This window comes from Homo sapiens, chromosome 11 (assembly GCF_000001405.40).
Source record: "Homo sapiens chromosome 11, GRCh38.p14 Primary Assembly".
Taxonomy (NCBI): Eukaryota; Metazoa; Chordata; class Mammalia; order Primates; family Hominidae; genus Homo; species Homo sapiens.
The window spans coordinates 124,906,935-124,918,511 of record NC_000011.10 but is presented as its reverse complement, the minus strand read 5'-3'; the positions used below and the strand labels follow the sequence as shown (position 1 = coordinate 124,918,511).

The 11,577-nt window shown below is 41.0% G+C and overlaps 1 long non-coding RNA gene across 1 annotated transcript in view; it reads right to left on the bottom strand.

The window, feature by feature from the left end:
• The window catches only part of LOC107984406 (uncharacterized), a 51,792-nt gene that overhangs the window by 25,079 nt on the left and 15,136 nt on the right, over nt 1-11,577 (bottom strand). The gene's annotated exons all lie outside the window — the stretch shown is intronic.

Genomic DNA, 11,577 nt, shown 5'->3' with positions numbered 1-11,577 from the left:
CAAGGGCAGGGGGCTCACATATGAAATGAAGTTAAAAGTGCATGTTAAATTTGGCAACAATGAAAACATTGAGTGACTTGGCATAAGTAGTTTCAGACATGTAGTAGGGGTTAAAGCCAGATTGCAACAGGTAAAAAGTGATATGTGGAACTTCTCTGCTAAATACTTGAGACTAGATGTTTGAGAGGTCTTCCTGTTTCAAAACAACTAGGTCTTGCTTAAATGATATTTGTTTTGCATTGCTGGCTTCAAGAGATGGGGGAATTTTTTTTTTTTTTTCAGACAGAGTCTCATTCTTGTCACCCAGGCTGGAGTGCAATGGCGCAGTCTAGGCTCACTACAACCTCTGCCTCCTGGGTTCAAGTGATTCTCCTGCCTCAGCCTCCCGAGTAGCTGGGACTACAAGCACGTGCCACCATGTCCAGCTAATTTTTGTATTTTTGGTAGAGACAGGGTTTCACTATGTTGGCCAGGCTGATCTCAAACTCCTGACCTCATGATCCGCCCACCTTGGCCTCCCAAAGTGCTGGGATTACAGGCATGAGCCACTTCCCTGCCAGAGATGGGGGAAATTTTTAAGCAGTCAGAAGTAAAACAAAATTTAAAAGCACAGTGAGCTCAAAGTACTTAGCACTCATTAAATATGAGATTACCAAGGGAGGTGAAGCAAGATGGCTGAATAGAAGCCTTCACTGATTGTCTTCCTGCAAAAACACCAGATTGAACAACTGTCCACACAAAAAAAGCACCCTCATAACAACCAAACATCCAATGAGTGATCACAATACCTGGTTTTAACTTCATATCACTGAAAGAGGCACTGAAGAAGGTAAGAAAGACAGTCTTGAATTGCTGACACCACCCCTCCCTCATCACCCGGCAGCTGCCGCATGGAACAGAGAGAGAATCTCTGCACTTGCGGGAGGGAGAGTGCAGTCATTGTGGGGCTTTGCATTGGAACGCAGTGCTGCCCTGTCACAGGGAGAAACAACACCAGGCAGAACTCAGCCAGCACCCACAGAAGGAGCATTTAGACCAGCCCTCGCCAGAGAGGAATTACACATCCCAGTGGTTGGAACCTGAATTCCAAAAAGACTCACGACCATGGGTTAAAGTGCTCTGGGGTCCTAAATAAACTTTTAAAAGTCTGTCTAGGACACAAGGACTGCAATTCTAGGGGGGATTCCTGATGCTGTGCTGGGCTTGAAGCCAGTGGACTTGAGCATATGATCTAGTGAGACACCAGCTGGTGCAGCCAAGGGAGTGCTTGCATCATCCCTCTGCCAACACCAGGCATCACAGCTTGCAGCTTTGAAAAAGACTCCTTTCTGTGGTTGGAGGAGAGGAGCAGGAAGAGTAAACAGGACTGTGTATTGCAACTTGGATATCAGCTCAGCCACAGTAGGACAGGGCATAAGACAAGCTCAGCCACAGTAGGATAGGGCATAAGACAGAGTCCTGAGTCCCCCATTTCAGGCCCTAGCTCCCAGACAACATTTCTAGACACCCTGGGCCAGAAGGGAACCCATTGGTTTGAAGGGAATGACCCAGTCCTGGCAGCATTCATCACCTGCTCTCTCTAGAGCCCAAGGGCCCTCAATAATTTGCAATAGAACCCAAGCAGTACTTGCCATTGGCCTTGGGTGAGACTAAGAGACATGTTGGCTTCAGATGTCACCAAGCACCTTTCCAGCTGTGGTGGCTATGGGAAGGGGCTCCTTCTGCTTGAGAAAAGTTGAAGGAAGGATAAAGGGGACTTTGTCTTGCAGCTTAGGTACCGGTGTGGCCTCAGTGCGGTAGAGAACCAAGTGGGCTCTTGGGGTCCCCAATTCCAGGGTTTAGCTCTTGTATGGCATTTCTGGACCTGCCCTAGTGGCCATAGTGGAGCCCACTGCCTAGAAAGGAGAGTCCTATGCTTAGCAGCATTCATAAGCTGACTCAAGAGCCCTTGATCCATGAATGAACATCAGCAGTAGCCAGGCAGTATTGACCATGGGCCTGGGGCAGTGGTGACCAAGGGAAGAGACACCTCTGCTTGAGGAAAGGAGAGGGAAGAGTGGGAAAGACATTGCCTTGGGCTTGGGTGCCAGCTCAGCTGGAGTAAAATAGAGCACCAGGTAGATTCCTAAAGTTTCTTACCCCAGGCCCTGGCTCCCAGGTGACATCTCTGGACCTGCCCAGGACTGGTGGAAACTTGGCACCCTGAAGTAATGGATACAAGCCTGGCTGGCATTGCCACCTGCTGACTCTAGAGCCTTAGGGCCTTGAGCGAACATAGCTGGTAGCCAGACAGTGGTTACCACAGGCCTTTGGTGACACCTGGTGCTGTGCTGGCTTCAGGTCTGACGCAGCACAGTCTCAGTGATGGTGGCCACAGGGATACTTGTGTCACCCTTCTTCCAGCTCCAGGCAGCTCAGCACAAACAGAGAGAGAAGGAGAGAGAGAGAGAAAGGGAGAGAGAAGAGGAGAGGAGAGGAGAGGAGAGGAGAGAGAGACTGCTTGTTTTGGAGAAAGAAAAGGAAGAGAATAAGAGTCTATGTCTGATAATCCAGAGGATTCTTCTAGATCTTATCTAAGACCATAGGGTGGTATCTCTTCAAGTCTGCAGGAGCCACAGTGTTACTGGACTTGGGGTGCCCCCTAATGCAGATACAGCTGCAGTCACCAAAAACTAAATCACAACACCCAAGTTCCTTTGAATACCTAGAAAGCCTTCCCAGGAAGGAAGGGTGCAAACAAACCCAGACTCCAATGAACATCCACAAGCATCAAGACCATTCAGGAAATATGACCTCACCAAATGAACTAAATAAGTCACCGGTGACTAATCCCAGAGAGACACAGATGTGTGACCTTTCAGACAGATAATTCAAAATGGCTGTTTTGAGGAAACTCAAAGAAATTCAAGAGAACACAGAGAGGAATTCAGAATCCTATCAGATAAATTTAACAAAGAGATTGAAATAATTTAAAAGAATCCAGTAGAAATTCTGGAGTTAAAAACTGCAAGTGAAATACTGAAGAACACATCAGAATCTGTTAATAGTGGAATTAATCAAGCAGAAGAAAGAATTAGTGAGTTTGAAGACAGGCTATTTGAAAATACACAGTTATAGGAGACAAAAGGAAGAAGAATAGAAGAGAATGAAAGTATGCCTACGATATCAAGAAAATAACTTCAAAAGGGCAAATCTAAGAGTTTTGGGCCTTCAAGAGAAAATCGAGAGATGAGGGTAGAAAGTTTATTCAAAGGGATAATAACAGAAAACTTCCCAAACCAAGAGAAAGATATCAATATTCAAGTGCAAGAAGGTTACTGAGCAGATTTGACCCAAATAACATTAACTCAAGACATTCAATAATCAAACTCCCAAAGGTCAATAATAAAGAAAGGATTCTAAAAGTAGGAAGAGAAAAGAAACAAATAACATATAGTGGAGCTTCAATATGCCTAGCAGCAGACTTCTCAGTGGAAGCCTTGCAGGCCAGGAAAGAGTGACATAATATATTGAAAGTGCCAAAGGAAAAAGAACTTTTATTGCAGAATAGTATGTCTGGTGAAAATATTATTCAAACATGAAGGAGAATTCAAGACTTTCCCAGACAAACAAAAGCTGAGAGATTTCATCAACACCAGACCTATCCTATGAGAAAGCTAAAGGGAGTTCTTTAATCTGAAAGAAAAGCACCTTAATAAAAAATAAGAAATTATCCGAAGGCACAAAACTCACTAGTAATAGTAAGTACACAAAAAGACAGAATATCAAAACACTGTAATTGTGGTGTGTAAGCTACTCATATCTTGAGTGGGAAGACTAAAAGATGAACTGATCAAAAATAATAATTACAACTTTTCAAGACATAGTACAATAAGATATAAGTAGAAACAACAAAAAGTTAAAAGTAGGGGCATGATGTTAAAGTGTAGAGTTTTTATCAGTTTTCTCTTTACTTGTTAGTTTGTTTATGCAATCACTGTTAAGTTGTCATCAGTTTAAAACAACAGGTTATAAGATATTATTTGCAAGCCTCATCGTAACTTCATATTTGGAAACTTACAACAGATAACACGAAATATAAAAAGCAATAAATTAAAACATGTCATCAGAGAAAATCACCTTCACTAAAAGGAAGACAGGAAAGAAGAAAAGAAGAAAGAAGACCATGAAACAACCAGAAAAAAAAGTAACAAAATGGCAGAAGTAAGTCCTTACTTAACAATGATAACATTGAATGTAAATAAACTAAACTCTCCAAACAAAAGATGTTGAGTGGCTGAATAGGTTACAAAATAAGATCCAACAATTCGTTGCCTGCAAGAAACATACTTCATCTACAAAGACACATATAGGCTGAAAATAAAGAGATGGAAAAAATATTCCATGCAAATAGAAACCAAAAAAGAGCAGGAGTAGCTATACTAATATCAGACAAAATAGATTTCAAGACAAAAACTATAAAAAAAGACAAAGAAGGTCACTGTGATGGTTAATACTGTCAACTTGATTGAATTGAAGGATGTAAAGTATTATTCCTGACTGTTTCTGTGAGGGTGTGGCCAAAAGAGATTAACATTTGAGCCAGTGGACTGGAAAAGGCAGACCCACCCTTACTCTGAGTGGGCACAATCTTATCAACTGCCAGCGTGGCCAGAACAAAAACCAGGCAGAAGAACGTGAATAGACTAGACTGGCTTAGCCTCCCAGCCTACATCTTTCTCCCATGCTGTATGCTTCCTGCCCTCCAACATCAGACTCCAAGTTCTTCAGCTTTGGGACTCAAACTGGCTTCCTTGCTCCTCAGCTTGCAAATGGCCTATTTTGGGACCTTGTGATTGTGTGAATTAATACTCCTTAATAAATTCCCATATATGTATTATATATTATATATCTAATATATATTATATATCAAATATATAATATATATTTGATATATAATACATAATATGTATTTTATATATTATATATTATATATAAAATATATATTATAAAATATATATTTTATATAATATATAATATAATATATATTTTACATATTATATATAATATAAAATATATATTATATTATATATTATATATATTTTATATTATATATATTATATATAATCTATATTTTATATATTTTATATTATAAATTATATATAATATATATTTTAGATATTATATATAATATATATTTTAGATATTATATATAATATATATTTTATATATTATATATTTTATATTTTATATATAATATATATAATATATTTTATATATTATATATTATATATTTTATATATTATATATTATATATTTTATAGATTATATATATTATATATATGAAATATATAATATATATAATATATATTATATATATGATGTATATTATATATATTATATATATTATATATTATATATATGATATATATATTATATACATATAATATATATATTAGTTCTGTCTTTCTAGAGAACCCTGAGTAATACACATTTTGGTACCAACAAATATTAAGGATGGAGTTCTTTTGTTGGTTTTGGGGTTTCTGGAGTTGGCTGCTAAATATGATTAGACCCCAAAATGCTAAGGACTCTACTTCTAATAGTATGGAGAACACTAATAGTCCCTGGCATGAGCTGTTTACAGAGTTATGCAAAATAAGTGCATTTGACACTCCTGATTCACTGCTCATGAGAGGCAAGGAGTTTAGTGACTCTGTACATAATAACTTTGACCATATGTGGAGAACCAAGGAACATAATGAAGTTGGTTGGTTGCTCCTAAGTTCACTGGACAAAGTGATGAAAGAAAATTGTGAACTCAGAGATTCTAACTCCTGGCTTCAGAAGCAGATACTGAGCCTCAAATCTTCTAAGATTGCCCTGAGTATGAGTCTTATCTCCTGAAGAGAAAAGATGAAGCTGTGGAAAACCAGACACAAGCTTTTATCATGCGAGTGGCTGGCCTGCAATGAAAGGTGCATCCACAGCCTTGCCAGGTGTCTACTGTTAAAATGAGGGCATTGATTGGAAAAGAATGGGACCTTGCAACTGGGAATGGGGATATGTGGGAGGACCCTGATGACACTGGGGACACTGAGCTTGTAAACTCTGATGAATTTTTTTTGCCAGAAGAAATAGCTTTCTCATTCCCAGTAGTGGCAACATCCCCTCCCTGACCCACACTCCCATCAACCTTTCCACCTTTGTCTGAGGGGTTAAACCCTGTGCTGCCTGAGGCAACAGTGATGGCCTCCCCTGAGGCAGTTGCCAGGCAATATAAGTTGATTCTCCTCAGGAGCTATCCCCAACACCTCTGTTTGCTTCTAGAACTATAACAAGACTAAAGTCCTAGCGGGCTCCTAGAAGTGAGGCTCAGAATGTGACCATGAGGAGATGTGCTACACTCAAAAAGAACTGCTTGAGTTCTCTAATTTATATAAGCAGAAATCTTGAGAAGAGTCATGGGAATGGATATTAAGGTGTGGGATGATGGTAGAAGGAACATAGAGTTTGATCACGTGAATTTGTTGATTTGGGCCTACTAAATAGGGATTCTACATTTAATGTTGTAGCTCAGGGAGTTAAAAAAGATTCTAATAGTTTGTCTGCTTGGTTAGCTAAAATATAGCTTAAAAGATGGCCCACTGTGAGCGAGCTGGAAATACCTGATTTCCTCTCTTGGTTTAGAACGGGATCCAAAGGTGTAGGGAGATTGGAATGGTGGAGTGGATTAGTCACTTTAGACCTTCTCATTCCAGCTGGGAGGGTCCAGAATATATATCCTTGACCAATGCTTTCTGAAATACATTTGTGAGGGCAACACCTATATCTTTGAAGAGCTCTGTAAGGATTGCTCTTCTAGATCTTGATGTATGCCAGATCTAACAATGGGAACCCCAGTCACTCAACCACAAAATTTAAATACAATGGAAATAACTGGATCCCGAGATGGCAGGGCCAAGTGGCAGCACTCAACCATCAAAGGTAAGGTGGGCATGGCTACCATAATGGACAACAGAGGCAAAGCAACAATCTGAATCGTTTGACTTATGCAGAGCTCTGGCACTGGCTAATTAATCACGGTGTTTCTAGAAGTGAAATTAATAGGAATCCTACTGCATTCCTACTTAATTTATATAAGCAGAAAAATTCCAGTTCAAGTGGACAAAGACTAATTTTAAATATAAAAACAGAGAATCATGGCCCCTCAATCAATATCCAGACTGGAGCCATTTTGTAGACCCAGAACCTCTTGAATGAAGGGGAAGTCTGCTCCCCTTGAAGAAGGACCCCACTATACTACCAACAATTTATGCTATAAATCTTTCTCCCATCCTTCCCCAAGGAGAACTCTGGCCTTTTACCAGGGAAACTGCACTGGGGAAAGAAAGATGATCAGACATTTTGGGGACTACTGGAAACTGGCTCTGAGCTGACACTGAATCCAGGGGTCCCAAAACATCATTGTTGTCCTCCAGTTAAAGTAGGGGTTTACACTGCTCAATGAAATAAAAGAGGTTACAAACAAATGGAAGAACATTCCACGCTCATGGGTAGGAAGAATCAATATTGTGAAAATGGCCATACTGCCCAAGGTCATTTATAGATTCAATGCCATCCCCATCAAGCTACCAATGACTTTCTTCACAGAATTGGAAAAAGCTATTTTAAAGTTCAAATGGAACCAAAAAAGAGCCTGCATTGCCAAGTCAATCCTAAGCCAAAGAACAAAGCTGGAGGCATCACGCTACCTGACTTCAAACTATACTACAAGGCTACAGTAACCAAAACAGCATGGTACTGGTAGCAAAACAGAGATATTGACAAATGGAACAGAACAGAGGCCTCAGAAATAATGCCGCATATCTACAACTATTTGATCTTTGACAAACCTGACAAAAACAAGAAATGGGGAAAGGATTCCCTATTTAATAAATGGTGCTGGGAAAACTAGCTAGCCGTATGTAGAAAGCTGAAACTGGATCCCTTCCTTACACCTTATACAAAAATTAATTCAAGATGGATTAAAGACTTAAATGTTAGACCTAAAACCATAAAAACCCTAGAAGAAAACCTAGGCAATACCATTCAGGACATAGGCATGGGCAAGGACTTCATGTCTAAAACACCAAAAGCAATGGCAACAGAAGCCAAAATTGACAAACGGGATCTAATTAAACTAAAGAGCTTCTGAACAGCAAAAGAAACTACCATCAGAGTGAACAGGCCACCTACAGAATGGGAGAAAATTTTTGCAATCTACTCATCTGACAAAGGGCTAATATCCAGAATCTACAATGAACTCCAACAAATTTACAAGAAAAAAACAAACAACCCCATCAAAAAGTGGGTGAAGGATATGAACAGACACTTCTCAAAAGAAGACACTTATGCAGCCAAAAGACACATGAAAAAATGCTCATCATCACTGGCCATCAGAGAAATGTAAATCAAAACCACAATGAGATACCATCTCACACCAGTTAGAATGGCAATCATTAAAAAGTCAGGAAACAACAGGTGCTGGAGAGGATGTGGAGAAATAGGAACACTTTTACACTGTTGGTGGGAAGGTAAACTAGTTCAACCATTGTGGAAGTCAGTATGGTAATTCCTCAGGGATCTAGAACTAGAAATACCATTTGACCCAGCCATCCCATTACTGGGTATATACCCAAAGGATTATAAAACATGCTGCTATAAAGACACATGCACACATATGTTTATTGCAGCACTATTCACAATAGCAAAAACTTGGAACCAACCCAAATGTCCAACAATGATAGACTGGATTAAGAAAATGTGGCACATATACACCATGGAATACTATGCAGCCATAAAAAATGATGAGTTCATGTCCTTTGTAGGGACATGGATGAAGCTGGAAACCATCATTCTCAGCAAACTATCACAAGGACAAAAAACCAAACACCGCATGTTCTCATTTATAGGTGGGAACTGAACAATGAGAACACATGGACACAGGAAGGGGACCATCACACACCAGAGCCTATTGTGGGGCGGGGAGAGGGGGAAGGGGTAGCATTAGGAGATATACCTAATATTAAATGACGAGTTAATGGGTGCAGCACACCAACATGGCACATGTATACATATGTAACAAACCTGCACATTGTGCACGTACCCTGAAACTTAAAGTATAATAAAAAAAATATAGAGAAATAGTATAAAAATAAAAAAATAAATAAATTAAGTAGGGGTTTATGGAGGTCAGGTAATTAATGCAGTTATAGCTCAGGTTTGACTTACAGTGGGTCCAGTGGGTTCTTGAACTCATCCTGTGGTCATTTCCCCAGTGCCAGAATGAATAATTGGCGTAGACATACTGGAAGAACCCCCACATTGGCTTCCTGACTATTAGGGTGAGGGTTATTATGGTGGGAAAGGCCAATTGGAAGCCATTAGAGCTGCCTCTACCTAGAAAAATAGTAAATCAAAAACAATATTGCATCTCTGGATGAATTGTGGAGATTAGTGCCACCATCAAGGACTTGAAATATGCAGGGTGGTGACTCCCATCACATTCTCATTCAACTGTCCTATTTGGCCTGTACAGAAGACAGATGGATCTTGGAGAATGACAGTGGATTACTGTAAGCTTGACCAAGTGGTAACTCCAATTGCAGCTGCTGTAGCAGATGTGGTTTCATTGCTTGAGCAAATTGACACATTTCCTAGTACCTGGTATGCAGCCATTGATTTGACAAATGCCTTTTTCTCCATTCCTGTCCATAAGGCCCACCAGAAGCAATTTGTCTTAAGCTGACAAGGCCAGCAATATACCTTTACTGTCCTACCTCAGGGGTATATCAACTCTCTGGCTTTGTGTCATAATCTTGTTCAAAGAGAGCTTGATTGATTTTCCCTTCCACAAGATAACACACTGGTCCATTACATTCATGACATTACGCTGACTAGATCCAGTGAGTGAAAAGTAGCAAACACACTGGACTTATTGGTGAAGGATTTGCAGGCCAGAGGATGGGAAATAAATCTGACTAAAATACAGGGGCCTTCTACCTCAGTAAATTTCTAGAGGCCCCATGGTGTGGTGCCTGTCGAGATATTCCCTCTAAGATGAAGGATAAATTGCTGAATTTGGCCCCTCCTACAACCAAGAAAGAGGCACAACGCCTAGTGGGCCTATTTGGATTATGGAGGCAACACGTTCCTCATTTGGGTGTGTTACCCCGGCCCATTTATCAAGTGACCCAAAAGGCTGCCACTTTTGGGTGGGGTCCAGAACAAGAAAAGGTTCTGCTGTGCAAGCTGCTCTGCCACTTGGGCCATATGACCCAGCAGATCCAGTGGTGCTTGAGGTGTCAGTGGCAAATAAAGATGTTGTTTGGAACCTTTGGCAGGCCCCTATAGGTGAATCACAGCAGGGGCCTCTAGGATTTTGAAGCAAGGCCCTGCCATCTTCTGCAGATGACTCTCCTTTTGAGAGACAGCTCTTGGCCTGTTACTGGGCTTTGGTGGAAACTGAACATTTGACTATATGTCATTAAGTTACCATGGCACCTGAACTGCCTATCATGAACTGGGTGCTTTCTAAACCATCTACCCATAAAGTGGGTCATGCACAGCAGTATTCCAAAATCAAATGGAAGTGGTACATACGTGTTCAAGCTCAAGCAGGTCCTGAAGGCACAAGTAAGTTACATGAAGTGGCTCAAATGCCCATGGTCTCCACTCCTACTACCCTGCCTTCTCTTCCCCAGCTTGCTCCAATGGCCTCATGGGGAGTTCCCATCATCAGTTGACACAGGAAGAGAAGACTAGGCCTGGTTCACAGATGGTTCTGCATAACATGCAGGCACCACCCGAAAGTGGACAGCTGCAGCACTATAGCCCCTTTCCAGGACATCCCTGAAGGATAGCAGTGAAGGGAAATCTTCCTAGTGGGCAGAATGTCCAGCAGTGTACCTGGTTTTGCACTTTGCATGGAAGGAGAAATGGCCAGATGTGCAAATATATCCTGATTCATGAGCTGTAGACAATGGTTTGGCTGTATGGTTAGGGACTTGGAAGAAGCATGATTGGGAAATTGGTGGCAAAGAATTTTTGGGAAGAGGTATGTGGATGGACCTCTCTGAGGGGTAAAAAACTGTGAAGATATTTGTATCCCATGTGAGTGCTCACCAACAGGTGAACTCAGCAGAGAAGGATTTTAATAATCAAGTGGATAGGATGACCCATTCTGTGGACACCACTCAGCCTCTTTCCCCAGCCACCCATCATCACCCAATGGGCCCATAAACAAAGTAGCCATGGTGGCAGGGATGGAGGTTACGCATGGGCTCAGTAATATGGACTTCCACTCACCAAGGCTGACCTGGCCACAGCCACTGCTGAGTGCCCAATTTGCCAGCAGCAGAGACAAACACTGAGCCCTCAATATGGCACCATTCCTTGGGGTGATCAGGCAGCTACCTGGTGGAAGGTTGATTATGTTGGACATTTTCCATCATGGAAAGGGCAGCAGTTTGTCCTCACTGGAATAGACATTTATTCTGGATATGGGTTCACCTATCCTACATGCAATGCCTCTGCCAAGACTACCATCCGTGGACT